The sequence below is a fragment of the Homo sapiens genome, chromosome 15 (genome assembly GCF_000001405.40).
Source record: "Homo sapiens chromosome 15, GRCh38.p14 Primary Assembly".
NCBI lineage: Eukaryota > Metazoa > Chordata > Mammalia > Primates > Hominidae > Homo > Homo sapiens.
The window spans coordinates 38919751-38939383 of record NC_000015.10 but is presented as its reverse complement, the minus strand read 5'-3'; the positions used below and the strand labels follow the sequence as shown (position 1 = coordinate 38939383).

The 19633-nt window shown below is 38.3% G+C and overlaps 1 long non-coding RNA gene across 2 annotated transcripts in view; it reads left to right on the top strand.

Moving 5' to 3' along the window:
* LOC105370777 (uncharacterized) overlaps nt 1-19633 on the top strand; it is a 556255-nt gene that overhangs the window by 481677 nt on the left and 54945 nt on the right. The gene's annotated exons all lie outside the window — the stretch shown is intronic.

Sequence of the window (19633 nt, the reverse complement as noted above, 5' to 3'; positions counted from 1 at the left end):
GTGGATCATTTGAGGCCAGGAGTTCAAGACCAGCCTGGCCAACATGGTGAAGCCCTGTCTGTACTAAAAATACAAAAAAAAAAAATTAGATGGGCATGGTGGTGCATGCCTGTAATCCCAGCTACTCGGGAGGCTAAGGCACGAGAATCGCTTGAAGCCAGGAGGTGGAGGTTGCAGTGAGCCAAGATTGCACCACTGCACTCCAGCCTGGGTGATGGAATGAGACTCTAACTTTCCCACCAACAGTGTAAAAGTGTTCCTTTTTCCCCACTTCCATGCCAACATTCGTTATTTTTTGATTTTTTGATTATGGCTATTCTTTCAGGAGTAAGGGGGTATCACATCATAGGTTTGATTTGCATTTCCCTGGTAATTAGTGATGTTGAGCATTTTTTCATATGTTTGTTGGCCATTTATATATCTTCCTTTGAGAATTGTCTATTTATGTCCTTAGCCCACTTTTGGATGGGATTGTTTGATATTTTTTCTTGCTGATTTGAGTTCCTTGTAGATTCTGGATATTAGTTCTTTGTCTGATGTATAGATTGTGAAGATTTTCTCCCAATCTGTGGGTTGTCTGTTTACTCTACTGATTATTTCTTTTGCTGTGCAGAAGCTTTTTAGTTTAATTAAGTTCCATCTATTTATCTTTGTTTTTGTTGCATTTGCTTTTGGGTTCTTGGTCATGAAGGCTTTGCCTAAGCCAATATCCACAAGAAGTTTTACATTGTTTTCTTCTAGAATTTTTATGGTTTCAGGTCTTAGATTTAAGTCTTTGATCCATCCTGAGTTGATTTTTATATAAGGTGAGAGATGAGGATCCAGTTTCATTCCTCTACATGTGGCTTGCCAATTATCCCAAAACCATTTGTTGAATAGGGTGTCCTTCCCCCACTTTATGTCTTTGTCTGCTTTGTCAAAGATCGGTTGACTATAAGTATTTGGTTTTATTTCTGGGTTCCCTATTCTGCTCCATTGGTCTATATGCCTATTTTTATACCAGTACCATGCTGTTTTGGTGACTATGGCCTTAGTTTGAAGTCAGGCAATGCGATGCATCCAGATTTGTTCTTTTTGCTTAGTCTTGATTTGGCTATGCAGGCTCTTTTTTGGCTCCATATGAATTTTAGAATTGTTTTTTCTAGTTCTGTGAAGAATGATGGTGACATTTTGATGCACAATGCATTGAATTTGTAGGTTTCTTTTGACCATATGGTCATTTTCACAATATTGATTCTACCCAAGCATGAGCATGGGATGTGTTTTCACTTGTTTTTGTCATCCATGATTTCTTTCAGCAGTGTTTTGTAGTTTTCCTTGTAGAGGTCTTTCACCTCCTTGGTTAGGTATATATATATATTTTGCAGCTATTGTAAAAGGGGTTGAGTTATTGATTTGATTCTCAGCTTGGTCACTGTTGGTGTATAGCAGAGTTAGTGATTTGTGTACATTACATTTGTATGCTGAAACTTTGTTGAATTCATTTATCACCTGTAGGAGCAAGGAGTCTTTAGGGTTTTCTAGGTATACGATCATGCCATCAGCAAACAGCGACAGTTGGACTTCCTCTTTACTGATTTGGCTGCTCTTTATTTATTTCTCTTTTCTGATTGCTCTGGCTAGAACTTCCAGTACCATGGTGAATAGAAGTGGTGAAAGCGGGTATCCTTGTCTTATTCTAGTTCTCAGGGGGAATGCTTTCAACTTTTCCCTGTTCATTATAATGTTGGCCATGGGTTTGTCACAGATGACTTTTATTACCTTAAGGTATATCCCTTCTGTGCTGATTTTGCTGAGGGTTTTAGTCACACGGGATGCTAGATTTTGTCAAACGCTTTTTTCTGCGTCTATTGAGATGATCATGTGATTTTTGTTTATAATTCTGTTTATATGGTGTATCACATTTATTGACTTGCATATGTTAAACCATTCCTACATCCCTGGTATAAAACCCACTTGATCATGGTGGATTATCTTTTGATAATGCTGTTGGAGTCAGTTAGCTAGTATTTTGTTGAGGATGTTTGCATCCATGTTCATCAGGGATATTTGTGTGTAGTTTTCTTTTTTTGTTATGTCCTTTCCTGGTTTTCTTTCAGAACATTCCTCATTTGTAAAACATAAGCATCAAATTAGATAATCTACAGAAAATTTCACTGAAAATTATAAAACCTTAAACTTATGAATAAAGTCTACATCTCAGAAAGGTTGTGATATTTCCCAACTCACACATCTACTAAGTAGTAAAGGAGAAAACCAACACTCATGCCTCGCAGTCTCTACCTCAGTGCCTCTGTCACACACTCCGTATTCTTGTAAGGACTGGTAAAAAAGTGCAGGTCCTTGATAGAATGAAAAGTAAAATCAAGGAATAGCCACAAACCACTATTTAAACAGAGCCACAAAATCAAACATTTACAAATGGCAAAATTAACATTCTTGGATTAAGTTCAAAGGCAAGCAAAATGGTGTGCAACCAGAACTGCTTCAACATAGAAATTCATGGGGTGATGGTCCCAGGGTCACACTGCCTCTCAGAGAACAGGACTCTCATTTAAATAACCCTAAATTCAACCAGCACAGAAATGTAAGAAGACTTAACTTCTGCAAAAAGACCACTCATAACAGCAAGAGGAAGCCGTTGTTAACTTCTAAGAAAACTGCACCAGTACAGTGGTAATGCAGAAATAAGACTCTGGGACAGGAGTTTTAAATCAAAATACCTGCAAGGGTGAGAAATTGCATAAATGAATGAAGTAGGCTGGGGATAAAAGTGCAGAGCATTGAGACTGTGGCAAATACAAAAGCAGATGCTGTATCATTACTCAGCTTCAGTCCACTGGGGCCATGTCCAAATGCATGACCAATGGGGTCTGAACTAACAGTTTTTCAAGAAAAGACAAAAGATTTTATGCAAATTCTCTTTTTAATGCTTACAAGAAAGTTAAAACTCTGTTCAGGCCAAACAAAATGTATGTCTCTGGGCATCATTATGTAACCTTTGTTTATGAAAGTGGAGAGAAAACAGAAGCAGAGAGCATGTATTGGAGACCAAGGCTTGGAGATGGGTGGAAGAGAAATAAGAATGAAAAACTCCAGGAAGTGTAGTAGAGTCAAAGTCGAAGTTGGTTTCCCCAAGCCATCCATGTCCACTGTGACAATATAGAAGCTAACTCACTTTTAGCTTTAATTAGTCACCTTGCAATTAAGGAATATGGCTAGTAAGCAAGGCTAGTCGGGAGGCCAAGAGATGGCAATGGACAAGGCAAGAGGATAAACAAAAATGTTTTCTACACCTCAGCATGGCAGTGCATGTATCTTTTTAGGAGAGCCTCACACTGAGTACAGAGAAGCAAATGGAACCTACTCAAGATTGACTAACAAGTCACTGACCAGAGCTAAATATTGCTATTACGACTTGGTTAAAGCACTCAAGAGACAAGACCAATATTGAATGCTTTCATTCACAGGACCATGTAAATATTTTTCACATGACCTGAGTCAAATAGTATACTATAATTACATTTCCCTTTTTGCTCATTTTTCCCTTTTAGGGTTAATCACTGTCTCTATTTTAATAGTTTTTTAAATTGACTTACTACTAATTTATCCCCAACATCTCTCACAATTCTAAAATTCCTCTTTCTCTAGAATGGTGATTCTTTAGGTTTGCCAAGCAGCTATGATCCTAGAAGTTCACTTCACTAGTAGCTTCTTTTGCTTCTACTCTTAAATTAAATGTCTGTCTTTTTTGCTTTCATGCCACGTATTGGTAAAGAATATCTTCTTCCTAAGAAAAGATACAGGGTGATCTATTTTTGGATTGTTCATATTGGAAATGTATTCAATTTTCTTATACTTGATTAATAGCAGGGCTATGTATGGAAACAATTTTCCCTCAAGATTTTGAAAGCATTACTTCACTGTCTCTTAGTTTTTGGTGCTGCTTAGAGAATTCTGTGCCATTCTGAATCTTACCCTTTGAATATGGTGTACTTTATTTCTCTGGATGCACATATATATTATCTTTACGCCAGTGTTCTAAAGTTTTTGATTCATAAAGTTTTGTCCAAATTATAAAGTTTTGTCCAGTTTTGAAGATTAGCAAAAATAACAAGTCAGATTCGTCACTTGTTTCACTATGAATTCAAAAAAAGAAAAACAAAAAAAAAGACTTACAAAACAAAGAATCTCATGATAGCAAGGTTCCCTGATGCTTCCTGAGTCTGTTGTGAAAGCTAATCTAGAATATAGTGTTCTCAACAAACTGCACAGATGAAGGCAAGTCTAATGGAACTCTGGAGCACAGGTTCACTGCCTTCTCTACAATTCAGGCTAATTGTTAGATCCAGGGAGCCCCCTATTCCTGTATTAAGAAATCTATTCTGTGCCACAGTTACATCTACTGTTAGCATATTTCTTTTTTTTTTTTTTTAAGTTCAGGGATTCAGTGCAGGTTTGTTCCACAGGTAAACTTGTGTGATGACAGTTTGTTGTACAGATTATTTCATCACCCAAGTATTAAGCCCACTACTTATTAGCTATTTTTCCTGATTCTCTCCATCCTCCCACCCACCACCATCCAATAGGCCCCAGTGTGTGTTGTTCTCCTCTATGTGTCCATGTGTTCTCATAATTTAGCTCCCACTTATAAGTGAGAACATGTATTTGGTTTTCTGTTCCTGCATTAGGTTGCTAAGGATAATGGCCTCCAGCTCCATACATGTCCCTGCAAAAAACATGATCTCGTGCTTTTTTATGGCTGCATGATATTCTACGGTGTATATGTAGCACATTTCCCTCATCCAATCTACCATTGATGGGTATTTATGTTGATCCCATATCTTTGCTTTTGTTAATAGTGCTGCAATGAACATACATGTGTTAGCATATTTCTTACTGTGTCATCAGTCCTGTGCATATTTTCTCTTTTTAAAATTTCTTCTTCTTAACATTAAGCAGGGCCTTTCAATCTGAGGACTTTTGTCCTTTGGTTCTAGTAATTTTATTATTTATCTGAGACTTCCATCTTTTCTCTTTGTGAAACTCCTATTAGATGACAGATCATTCTCAACACAAGGAAATGATAAATGTTTGAGGTGATGCATGTCTTAATTACCCTGATTTTATCATTACACATTATATACATGTGTCAAAATATCACATGTATCCCCATAAATATGTATAATCATGTATCAATTTACATATGATTTTCCTCTTATTTTCTAATCTTTGGTTTTGGATTATAGTTTTTATTTATCTTCAAATCTTCTGTTGAATTATTCATTTCTATTACCAATTATTCATTTTCAGAAGCTCTTTCCTATTCAATGAATATGTACACATACACACACAAGGTATATGATAGGACATATAATAGCACATATTACACAATATAATTTTATATTTGATTAACATCTGTAAAATATAACGCAATGTTATATAACATACAACACACCTCCTTTTATTGTGCTTTTCATTATTGTGTGTCACAGATTTCACACTTTTTGCAAATTGAAGATTTGTGGCAACCCTGTAGGAAGGAAGTCTATTGGCACCATTTTTCCAACAGCGTGTGCTCACTTCATGTCTCTGTGTTACATTTGGGAAATTCTTAAAGTATCTCCAGGTTTTCCAAAACCATTATGTCTCTCATGGTGATCTGTGATCTGTGATATCTGGTATTATTATTGTAATCATTTGGGAGCACCAGAAATTGTGTCTATATAAAATGAAAAGCTTAATTGATAAATGTTGTATGTGTTCTAACTACTTCATCGACCAGCCATTCCCCCATGTTTCTTTCTCTCCTTAGGATTGCCTATTCCCAGAAAAACAATAATATTGAAATTAGGCCAAATAATAGCCCTACAGTGGCCTCTAAGTGTTCAAGTAAAAAGAAGAGTCATAAGTCTCTCACTTTAAATCAAAAGTTAAAAATGATTAAGCTTAGAAAGCAAGGCATGACAAAAGCCAAGACAGGCTGAAAGCTAGGTTTTATGTATCAAACAGCCAAGTTTTGAAGGCCAAGGAAGAGTCTTGAGGGAAGTAAAAAGCGCTACTCCAGTGAACACACGAATTGTAAGAAAGTGAAAGAGGCTTATTGCTGATACAGAGAAAGATTTAGTTGTCTGGATAGAAAATTAAACCAGTGACAACATTCTCTTGAGCCAAAGGCTAATTCAGAGTAAGGCCCTAACTTTATTCAATTCTACGAAGGTTGAGAGAGGTGAGGAAGATGCAGAAGAAACATCTAAATCTAACAGAGGTTGGCTCATGTGGTTTAAGGAAGGAAGCTATCTTCATAACATAAAAATGCAAAGTGAAGGCAGGAAGAAAACCACAATGGCCAACTAAATGCAGCCAGGAAGAATTTCTCCCAGTGAGAGATCAGATGATCAGGAAGACTGGCACACTCCAAGCAGATCTTCAGAAGAAAGGTATTGAGACAGGATGGAGGGAAGATGTAGACCCTGGGCTGAGGTGCGGAGGAACCTGGGAAAACTGCACAGCATTTCTGAGCACCAGGACTTGTTCCTGGCACTGAATAGTTCCCAGGAATGGATGAGTTACATACAGTATTCCAGTTTCACCACAAACTCCAGAATCCTAGCTGCAGGAGACCCAAGGACCTCCATACACATTTGAACTGGCAGGGAGAGCTGGTTGGAGAGTTATCAAGGACAGGACTCCAGCTCATGTGGAACCCAGAGGGTTTGGCATGGGTATGACTATAGTGGAGAATGGCCAGGGATGCCCATACTCCAAGGCTTGCCATGCTCCTCTGGATAGATTTTGGCCATTGCTGCCTGTTGAAGCTGGACAGACAAGGTGATTTTGTCCATGGGTTGGGGCCTGTCTGATCTGAACAACCCCACCATCTGCTGGTTTCTCCCAGTGTCCCTTCCTGGCTGCACCTACCAGCAGCCCAGTCACAGATGCCCAATCAGGGCACTTAGTGGCAGTTGCTGCCATAGCTTCTTCACTGGAAGACCCCATCTAACATCAGAGAGCTTCTACAGATGGGCTGCCACCAGTGTGCACCCATCCTCAGCCTCCCCTCACTGTTTTGCTGGTGCACACAGCCTCTTTCCACCACTTTGCCAGCACGTGTGTGCTCATGGACTTCACTGCCCAACTACCGCTGGTGCATGCACACATATGTGAGCACGCACCCTGCTCCCACTGCCCCAGTGAAGCACTTTTGCTGGTACCCTTTACTGGAGACTGGAGTGCTGGTCCTAGCAGATCGGAAAAATCTCAGCTCCTCCAGCACAGCAGGAGCTTAACCACGAGGGTAGCCAGAGAACAAAGCAGTGGGCCTGGTCCCAGTCCCCCAGAGTTAGAGCATGCAGCCTGGGAGTGCTAAGCTGAGTCTTGGCTCCCTGAAATCATCCAGAAAGGAAGCCAGTCAACTGAACTCAGCTTATGCCATAGTCAAACCCTCGAGGGATCAAAGAATATAAAAGCAAAAAGCCCTATCCAAAGGATAGCAACTTCAAAGATTAAATCAACATTAGCCCACACAGACGAGAAAGAATCGACTGTGCAAGAGCTCCAGCAACTCAAAAAGCCAGAGTGTCTTCTTACCTCCAAATGACTATACTAGCTTCCCGGCAATGCTTTTAGCCAGAATGAGATGGCTGAAATGACAGACAAAGAATTGAGAAAATGGATGGCAAGGAAGATCATCAAGATGCAGGAGAAAGTTGAAACCTAATCCAAGGAATGTAAGGAATCCAGTGAAGTGATACAAGAGCTGAAAGACCAAGTAGACATTTTAAGAAAGAACCAGGCTGGGCTCCGTGGCTTACACCTGTAATCTCAGCACTTTGGGAGGCCGAGGCAGGCGAACTTGAGGTCAGGAGATCGAGACCATCCTGGCCAATGTGGTGAAACCCCGTCTCTACTAAAAATATAAAAAATAGCTGGGTGTGGTGGTGCATGCCTGTAATCTCAGCTACTTGGGAGGCTGATGCATGAGAATCGCTTGAACCCTGGAGGCAGAGGTGAGCCGAGATTGCGCCACTGCACTCCAGCCTGGCAACATTGTGAGACTCTGTCAAAGAAAGAAAGAAAGGTAAGAAAGAAAAGAAATGAAGAAAGAAAGAACCAAATTGATCTAAAAGACCTGAAAAACTACAAAAATTACATACTACAATCCAAAGTATTGACAGCAGAATAGACAAAGCTGAGGAAAGAATCTCAGAACTCAAAGACCAGTTCTTCAAATCAACTCAGACAAAAATAAAGAAAAATGAACAAAACCTCCAAGAAATATGAGATTGTATAAGGAGACCAAACCTATGACTCACTGACATCTCTGAAAGAGAAAGAGAACAAGCAACTGGAAAACATATTTCAGAATACTGTCCACAAAAATTTCCCCAACCTTGCTAGAGAAATCAACATTCAAACTCAAAAAATTCAGAGAACCCTTGCGAGATACTACGCAAGATGGCCATCCTCAACACACACAATCATCAGATTCTCCAAGGTTAAGGTAAAAGAAAAAAGATTAAAGGCAGCTAGAGAGAAGAAGCAGGTCACATACAAAGAGAACCCCATCAGTTTAACAGTGGATCTTTCAGCAGAAACCCTACAAACCAGAAGAAATGCAGGCCTATATTCAACAACCTTAAACAAAAGAAATTATACCAAGAATTTCATATCAAGTCAAACTAAGGTTGTAAGGCAGAGAAATGAAATCCTTTTCAGATAAGCAAATGCTAAGGGAATTGGTTAACACCAGATCTACCTTTAAGAGTTCCTTAAAGGAGTGCTAAACATGGAAATGGGACACTGTTACCCAGCCACCACAAAAACACACTTGAGTACATAGACCATTGACCCTAAGAAACTGCTACACAATCAAGTCTACATAAGAACCAACTAACAATATGATGATGGGATCAAATTGGCACATATCAATATTAACCATGAATGTAAATGAGCTAAACACCATCACTTAAAAGGCACAGAATGGTAAGTGGGATAACGAAGCAAGATCCAAATGCATGCTGTCTTTAAGAGACCCTTCTCACATGCAATGACACTCATAGGATCAAAGTAAAGAGATGGAGAAAAATCTATCAGGCGAACCGAAACAAAAAAAGAGCAGTGGTTGGTTGCTATTCTTATTTCAGACAAAACAGACTTTAAACCAACAATGATAGAAAAGTACAAAGAAGGGAATTGCATAAAGGGTTCACTTCAATAATAAGTCCTAACTATCTTGATATATATGCAGCCAATACTGGAGCACCCAGATTCATAAAATAAGTTCTTGGAGACCCACCGAGAGACTTAGATAACAATACAATAATAGTGGGAGACTTCAACACCCCACTGCCAGTATTAGATCACTGAGGCAGAAAACTAACAAACATTTTCAGGACCAAAGCTTGACCCTTGATGAAATGGCTCTAACAGACATTTAAAGAACACTTCACCCAGAAATAACAGGATATACATTCTTCTCATGTGTACATGGCACATACTCTAAAAATCAACCACATGCTTGGCCATAAAGCAATTCTCAACAAATTAAAAACAAAACAAAATCGTACCAATCACACCTTCAGACCACAGCACAATAAAAATACATATCAGTATCAAGAAGATCTCTCAGAACCATAGAAGTCCATGGAAAGTAAGCAATCTGCTCCTGAATGACTTTGGGGTAAATAGTGACACCGAGGCAGAAATCAAGAAATTATTTGAAATTACTAAAAACAAAGATATAGCATACCAGCATCTACGGAACACAGCTAAAGCAATGTTAAGAAGGTTTACAGCACTAAAAGACCAAATCAAAAAGTTAGAAAGATATCAAATTAACAATATAACATCACACCTGGAGGAACTACAAAAATAAGAGCAAACCAACCTCAAAGCTATCTGAAGAAAAGAAATAACCAAAATTAGAGCAGAACTGAATGAAATGGAGACAGATAATATAATATAAAAGATCAATGAAACCAAAAGTTTCTTCTTTAAAGAATAAGTAAGATTGATATACTGGTAGCTGACTAATAGAGAAGATCCAAATAAACAAAATCAGAAGTGACAAAGAGAACATTACCACTGACCCCACAGAAATACAAGAAACCCTCAGAGACTATCAAACACCTCTATGAACACAAACTAGAAAACGTAGAAAAAAATGAGTAAATTCCTGGAAACATACAACCTCTTAAGATTGAACCAGGAAGAAATTGAAACCATGACCAGACCAATAATGAGTTCTGAAATTGAATCAGTAATAAATAAATGAAAAATCTAGCAACCAGAAAAAGCCCTGGACCAGATACATTCACAGCGGAATTCTACCAGATATATAAAGAAGAGCTGGTACTAATGCTACTGAAAGTATTCCAAATAATTGAGGAGGGAAGACTCCTCCTTAACTCATTCTATGATGCCAGTATAATTCTGATACCAAAACATGGCAGAGACATAACCCAAAAACTTCAGGCCCATATTGCTGATGAAAATAGATGCAAAAATCCTCAACAAAATACTTACCAACCAAATTCAGCAGCATATCACAAAACTAAAAAACTAATCTACCATGATCAAGTAGGCTTTATTACATGGATGCAAGTTTGATTCAACATATACAAGCCAATAAATGTGATTCATTATATAAATAGAACTAAAAGTAAAAATCACATGATCATCTCAACAGCTGCAGAAAATAGTTTTAATAAGATTCAACGTTCTTCATGTTAAAAACCCTCAATAAACTAGGCATCAAAGGAACATATCTCAAAATAAAAAGAGTCATCTATCAAAAAGCCACAGCAAAGATCATACTAAATGGGCAAAAACTGAAAGCACTGGACTTGACCCAGAACAAGACAAATATGCCCAGCATCACCATTCCTATCCAACATAACACTGGAAGTCCTAGCCAGAGCAAAGAGGCAAAAGAAAGAAAGAAAAGGCATCCAAATAAGAAGAGAAAAAATCAAACTCCTAATTTCACAAAAGATATGATTCTATACTGAGAAAACCCCTAGTCACTGCCCAAAGACCCCTAGATCTGATACACAACATCAGCAACATTTCAGGACACAAAATCAATGTACAAAAATCAGTAGCATTTCTAGACACCAACAACATCCAAGCTGAGAGCCAGATCAAGAACACAGTTCCATTCCCAATAGCCACAAAAGAATAAAATACCTAGGAATACAGCTAACAAGGAAGGTGAAAGATCTTTACAATGAGAATTACAAAATACTGCTCAAAGAAATCAGAGGTGACACAAACAAATGGAAAAACATTTCAGTCATGGACAGGGAGAATCAATATTGTTAAAATAGCCATACTTCCCAGAGCAATTTACAGATTCAATGCTATTCCTATCAAACTACCAATGACATTTTTCACAGAATTTTTTAAAAACTATTTTAAAATGTATATGGAACCAAAAAAGAGCCTGAATAGCCGAAACAATTCTAAGCAAAAAGAGCAGAGCTGGAAGCATCATTACCCAACTTCAAACCATGCTACAAGGCTACAGTAACCAAAACAGCATGGTACTGATACAAAAACACAGACCAATGGAACAGATTAGAGAACCCATAAATAAAGTGCACACCTACAGATATTTGATCTTTGACAAAGTTGACAAAAAAGCAATGGGGAAAGGACACCCTATTCAATAAAAGGTGCTGGAATAACTGGCTAGACATATGTTTGAAAATTGAAAACTGGACACCTCATTCTACTATGCACAAAAATCAACTGAAGATGAATTAAAGACTTACATGTAAAAACTGAAACTATAAAACCCTCGAAGAAAACCTAGGAAATACCATTCTGGACATAAGCCCTGACAAAAATTTCATGACAAAGGCTCCAAAAGCAAATACAACAAAAATAAAAATTGACAAATGGGATCTAACTAAACTAAAGGGCTTCTTCAAAGCAACAGAGTAAAGAGACAACCTACAGAATGGTAGAAAATATTTGCAAACTATGCCTTCAACAAAGCCCTAACACCCAGAATCTGTAAGGAACATAAATTAGCAAGAAAAAAGCAAACAATTCCATTAAAAATAGGCAAAGGGGCTGGGTGTGGTGGCTCATGCCTGTAATCCTAGCACTTTGGGAGGCCGAGGCAGGCAGATTACCTGAGGTTGGGAATTCAAGACCAGCCTTACCAATATGGAGACACCCCATCTCTACTATAAAAACAAAAATTAGCTGGGCGTGGTGGTGCATGCCTATAGTCCCAGATCCTCGGGAGGCTGAGGCAGGAGAATCGCTGGAACCCAGGAGGCAGAGGTTGTGGTGAGCCAAGATCACGCCATTGTACTCCTTCAGCCTGGGCAACAAGAGTGAAACTCCGTCTCAAAAAAAAAAAAAAAAAAAAAAGGAAAAAGGCAAAGGACATAAGTAGACATTTCTCAAAAGACATACACATAGCCAACAAACAGATGAAACAATTCTCAACATTACTAAACATTAGAGGAATGCAAATCAAAACCACAATGAAATACCGTCTCACACCAGTAAGAATGGCTATTATTAAAAATTCAAAAAATAACAGAAACTGAGGCTGGGCACGGTGGCTTACGCCTGTAATCCCAGCACTTTGGGAGGCCGAGGCGGGCAGATCACGAGGTCAGGAGATCGAGACCATCCTGGCTAACATGGTGAAACCCTGTCTCTCCTGAAGATACAAAAACTTAGCCAGGCGTGGTGGCAGGTGCCTGTAGTCCCAGCTACTTGGGAGGCTGAGGCAGGAGAAAGGCATGAACCCAGGAGGCGGAGCTTGCAGTGAGCCGAGATCGTGCCACTGCACTCCAGCCTGGGCGACAGAGCAAGACTGCATCTCAAAAACAAACAAACAAACAAACAAAAAACAGAAACTGGCAAGGTTGCAAAGAAAAAGAAATGCTTACACATTGCTGCTGGGAATGTAAATTAGTTCAGTCACTATGGACGACACGGCCATAAAAAAGAATGACATCATGTCCTTCGCAGCAACATGGATAGAACTGGAGGCCATTGTCCTAAGCAAATTAATGAAGTAACAGAAAACCAAATACCACATATTCTCTCTTATAAGTGGGAGCTAAACATTGAGTACACATGGACACAAAGAAGGCAATAATGGACACTGGGGCCTACTTGAGGGTGGAGAATGGCAGGAGAGTGAGGATCAATAACCTACCTGTTGGGTAGGCGCATTACTTGGGTGACAAAATGATTTGCACACCAAACTCCCACAACATGCAATTTACCATGTAACTAACCTGCACATGTACCCCCTGAACCTAAAATGTGGGAAATGTGCAAGGTGAAGTAGCAAGTACTGATGTAGAAGGTGCAGCAAGTTAGCCAGATCTAGCTAGAAAATTAAAAGGTGACTACACTAAGTAACAAAATTTTAATGTAGATAAAACAGCCTTATTTTGGAAGAAGATTTCATAGCTAGGATTTCATAGCTAGAGAGAAATCAATGCCAAGCTTCAAAGCTTCAAAGGACAGATTGACTCTCCTGTTAGGTGACTTTCAGCTGAAGTCAATGCTCATTTGCCATTCTGAAAATCCTAGGACCCTTAAGATATATGTCAAACCTACTCTGTCTGTGCTCTATGGATAGAACATCTGCTTACAGTAGGATTTACTGAATATTTTAAGCTCACTGTTGGGACTGTTCCTTTCAAAATATTATTGCCCATTAACAATGCACCTGGTTACCCAAGAGCTCTGATGGAAATATTCAAGAAGATTAACACTGTTTTCATGACTGCTAACACAACATCCATTCTGCAGCCCATGAATCAAGGAGTAGTTTGGACTTTCAAGTTTTATTATTTAAGAAATACATTTCATACCGTCACAGATAGTGATTCATCTGATGGATCTGGGCAAAGTAAATTGAAAACCTTCTGGAAGGGCTTCATCATTCTCGATGTTATTATGAACACTCGAGATCCATCAGAGGAGGTCAAAATATCAACATTAACAGGAGTTTGGAGGAAGCTGATTCCAACACTCAGATGACTTTGAGAGACTCACGACTTCAGTGGAGGAAGTAACTGCAGACGTCGTGGAAATAGCAAGACAACTATAATTACAAGTGAAGCCTGAAGATATGACTGAATTGCCATGATCTCATGATAAAACTTAAACAGATGAGGAGTTGCTTCTTATGGATGAGCAAAGAAAGTGGTTTCTTGAGATAGAATATACTCCTGGTGAAGATGCTGTGAACATTATTGAAATGATAACAAAGGATTTAGAATATTCCATTAACATAATTGATAAAGCAGTGGCAAGGATTGAGGAAATTGGCTCTGATTTTGAAAGAAGTTCTACTATGGATGGTACACTATCAAACAGTATTGTATGCTACAGAGAAATGGTTCATGAAAGAAAGAGTCAATCAATGTGGCAAACATTATTGTCTTACTTTAAGAAATTACCACAGACACCCCAACCTTCAGCAGTCACCGCTCTGATCAGTCAGCAGTTCTCAACATCAAAGCAAGACACTTGACCAGCAAAAAGATTGCAGCTTGCTGAAGGCTCAAATGATTGTTAGCAATTTTTAGCAATAGACTACTGTATAGTGTAACCATAACCTTTATATGCACTGGGAAACCAAAAACTTCATGTGATTCCTTTAATTGCAGTATTTGCTTTATTGCAGTGGTCTGAAACCAAACCCACAATGTCTCCAAGGTATGCCTCTGTTTTATTATATATAATTCCTTGTATGTGTGTGGGGGGGGACGATATACAGAGGATCCTAAGACCACAAAATGTTTAGATAAATACATGAAAAAAAAATAGACCCATAGGATTGATGCACAGTAAGAAATAGGCTGACAGTGGATGTAACTATGGCACAGAATAGATTTCTGAATATGGTAATAGGAGGCTCCCTAGATTCTTTGCATATACATATATATAAACAGACAAGGTATACCATATAAGGTATGATATACAGTGTAATATATCAAGTAGTAATATTGTACATGTATTATAAATTATATTAAATATGTAAGAAAGACTAATATGTAAAAATATATAAATACATATTAAATAATTTAGATAGCTATGGGTTGGTAGGTGGGTGGGTGGGTGGATAGATAGATAATGCCAAGTAGAAATATCTAGTCTGGGTCCGTATTTATCTCTGGATTCTTCTTGTGCATCAGAAAGCATCATCTTTTCATCCACTTACTCCATTTCATGTATTTTCACCCAGTAGCTATTTTCACTGGGTCCAGTTAGAAGAAGGAAAAGATAAACTTATTCATTGGATTTTCCCCTCGTATTTGGGGTCTTGGAATTCTAAGGTTGTTGTTTTTATTTGTTTCTGCTTCTAGCCATAAGGGCTTCACTCTGCTAATAGCACTCTGCTCCCCATGAGAATTTTCTTGTTGCTTTTTGTTGCTGTTGTTGTTAGCCAGCAGTGTTTTAGTTATGGAAGTAGATTACATGAAAACTGCAAAAAAAATTTGTGGACACTTTGTTTTGAATTGTGTCTTTAGGTTTGGTTTGGGGAGGATTAGGGTGAGATGTTTCCATCAGGAAGCCTGAATCCACTACCTTAATCGACAAGCCCATGGTGCAAGTGCAACTAATCACTGTCTAATTCTTAACTTTTGCAAGATTTAGAAAAGATATTTATGATTGGGTTTTATTAAAATAGGTATCATATGAGTAAAGGTAGTTGATCTTTTTATTTGAGCTTATTTTTCATTTTATCAGGAAGAGTGCATGTGTTAGACCTTGGAGAGGAGATCTAAGATCTACACCTTGATATTAATAGTATTAGGTAATTTAGCAAACTTATTTTAATGGATTAAATGTTTATATGTATCACATATAGATGTGCACAAAATAGAAATATTAAATCTTAATTGTTTTTATTGAAAAAGATATAAACTATTAATACAGTAGAAAAGAAAACCTTTAATTGCTAAACAAATGTTTCATTCTTAAACTAGCCATATCACTTCTGTTCAGTTAAGTATATACTGTGAAGCTATATTTTTATTTAAACTGTCCATTAATTTAATATGCTCTTGCTTTTTTTTTTTTTTTTTAAAAAAAAAGAGTTGGTTAGTCAGAAGCTGTGAGTCTACATAAATAAGGAAGAATAAGAAAGTTGTAAATTGCTTGTAACAGGCAGACTAAATTTTTTTAAAATGCTGCACCTTTAGAAGTGACCAGAAGTTCTTTCTGAATGACTCCATTGATTTCTGGTGTTTTCATTGGCTTTTAAATGCTGGCTTCCATTCTTTCAAAATGATGAGGACAAATAGGACAAGAAATATTATACTGAGTAGGTAATTATATAAATTAGAGTATTTGCTTATCTAGATTGAATCAAGCAGTCTTTTGCCCTAAAATGGTGTTTTCAAAATTGCAAAACAAATATAAGCTTAAAAAAATACCTTTTTGTTTTTTTAGAAAGTTTCGCAGAATATGGAGTTGCAGAGATGGAAGTATATATAGCTAGGTTATCAATCTGATGCTTAAATTCCTTGGTGCCAGTTATGGAAATAATTCTACAAATTCCTGGTAAAATTTGTATTTTTCAGCTAACATATACTTGGAGACATTCACAGAAGATATATGTACAAGTCTATATTACCTTGGGTAAATACCCTTCTAAAACAATTTTGTTTATCTGTGTTTTCTGATTTATAGTGATGGCTTGATTTAAATCTATGGGTGTCAGGACTGCTTTCTCTGGCTTTTGGGCTCCAGCCCATATTGCATCTCTACCAAGACACTCCAAAGTATCTACTGTGTTACTCTCTAGGGGTGGAAAACAAAGAAACCAAAATAAAACATTACTTTACATCTAGGTGAATTTCTTCAAACCATTTCTAATTGGCTTTCCAGAGGAAATCCTACTGAATTAATTTACATATTTAGCTGCTACTTTAAAATAACATTTCTCTGGAAGTAGGTGAACAACACTTTCCAATACCAATAGCTAGAGACCAAGCGTACACACACACACACATTTTGAGAGAATGAGAGAAGGGGAGAAAAAAATTGTTTCTTTCAGCTAGTGCACTGAGCAAGTCTTGCACCATTCTTAAGAGAATGAACTCACACTGTGAGCAACTCACAATTAACCCTCTCCAAATTGATGAGGACTCGGGAGAAACACACTATGTATATGGTGCACTTTAATATACTTTTGGCCTTAGTCTGCTCTGGGGTACTTTCCTTGCGCAATTAATTGTATTCTCCTATACAACTATGGCAAAAATGAACAAATTCAGATAGCTCTTCAGAGTCCATGTTAAGTGTGATCTCTATCATGACATGATGAGATAGATATAATTTCTGTAAGACAAAGATGTAAGACAAAGACTATATTTCCCAAGTTAAATCATATATAATTAGTTCAAAATGTCATATGTAAATTCCCTTTGCAATTATTATATTCAGAAAGGCATCATATAAAGCAAATTCAAATATATTTTATAGTATTATACAATCACGGCCATATAAAAAGAAGTTAACTTAAAGGAACACTATTTTTTTTGAGAAAGGGTCTCATTCTGTCATCCAGGCTGGAGACAGTGGCACAATCACAGCTCACTGCAGCCTTGATCTCCTGGGCTCAAACCATCCTCCCAGCTAAGGATAGAATGTAACCCCTGGTAACCACTATTCTACTCTCTGAATATATGAATTAGGTATTTCCAGTGATAACCTATGCACCCTTTTGACGTAAAAGGCTTTGTTTTCATCTAGGTAATGTGTCAGATGTATAAAATTGTTGGTGTTTATCTATCTTTTAGACAGACGGGCTGCAAAGGCAGTTTCCTTGACATCAAACTATCAAGGAAGCACATATATACCACTGGGTTCTTGAATTCCTGCTTTGTGTCACAGGATGCCAAGAGCCCCCCAGACCAAAGTAATCTTATTAAAAATGTCCAAGGAGAAGCAATTCCATATAGGCGGCAGGTTTCCTCAGACAGGCACACCTCTGTCTCCCTTGCCCCACCCCTGCACCCCATCATGAGGTGTGAGCAGTTAGGGTGGTCGGGGATTATGAATAGCCATTGGAGAAAGTATTAATTTTTATTTATGTACTAACCAAATGTACTCTCTTAAAGAAGGGATATGCATAGCCTAGCAGGCATGATTTTATTACTACCCTTATTTTCCCTGAACAGCCCTGTAAATAGCCAAAGGGCCATGGTGACGAAGGAGAGGAGGTATGGGTACTGGTAACATCAGGAACTAATTTAGTTTAGGCCACAGTCTCAACCCTTGCAGGCCTAAGCATTCCTCTGTAGTAGAAAGTTCTGTGACATGTTAGGGATAAGCCTAGTGTCCAGCTGAACCACTCAGGGAAGTATAATCTAGGGCTGGGTTCAAGTGGGAGCTCTACATCCTGGGAGTCAAACTCAGGCTTGGCGAATCACTGAGTCAGAAACTGGTGCTTGAAGACTCGGAAGTAATTCAGACAGTGGCGACCCCACATGCTTCCAGGTATATGGTCAACTCCTAGAGTCAGACACCAGGGAAGGGTGGAACAGTCCCCCAGAAGGTGCCTCCCTTTTGCCTCTCTTGATTATCCCCACTCCCACCTTCATCAGATAAGCGTTATTAAGGCTATTGAAAAGGATTGTGCAATGATCATAGGAGGAGGTTTTTGTTTTGTTTTTAATTTAAGTATTGCAGAAAGTGTGCTCTCTTGACAAGATTTAACACCTGCGTAATTGGTCCTCATAGACCAGGGATGGATAAAGTGCCTAGATAAAGTGTCACCACAGCTGCTTTGTACTGTACACGGCATTCCTGAAAAAAGGGATGCACAGATACTGTATTGTGATTGTAACCCCAGAGGCCTTATTCTACACTATTTTCTCCCCCAAATTATAGCTGTAATCTGGGGTACATATTTGAGAGTTCAATTTCTGGTTTTCCTACCCAACAATCTATGACAGATAAATACAAGATCCCAAGCTGGTACCCCTGCCCTGCCACCCTCTGAGTTGTTTCCTTAGTAACTGGAATGGGTTTGTTGTGATCTGGCCACAGCAATGACCTTAGACAAAAATCATGCAGTCTGTACAGTGTTTCTCCCTTGCCTTGGTGGTCCACCCTCCTTTCCCGATGCCCTGCAAGGCATAATTGTGCTATCCTTTGGCCCACGTGGGTCTTTCTGTTACCTGTCACCAAGTCACACTCAAAGCAACATCCTTAATTTGGACTTGCAAAGTTTCCTTCTCTACTCAAATTTTATTTGTGCAATTTTTACTTCCTTTGGGGTCTTCTTCAAAGTCAAGAAGATTGAAGCTCCATGTACGAATTAAACCTCTGACTTTGGACTTGTTATGACAATTTTCTAACCTACTAAGCAAAGAGGCCATATTTAAGTCCAACACAAACACTTTGTCCTCACATGCTCCAGCCCCCATTGCAGGAGGAGAAAATTGTGCTGGTGTGTTTAAAGGCTGAAAGTAAAGGAAGGAAACCTTAAGCCAAGTAAATTGAAAATAAATATTATTTTTCTCTAAGGCTGCACCAACGTGAAAAATCTCCTTTCAAGAAACAACCTTTGCTATTAGCTCTCGATGTGCCAAAAAGTCAGTGATGGTAGCTCCTAAAGAAATTAAGTTGA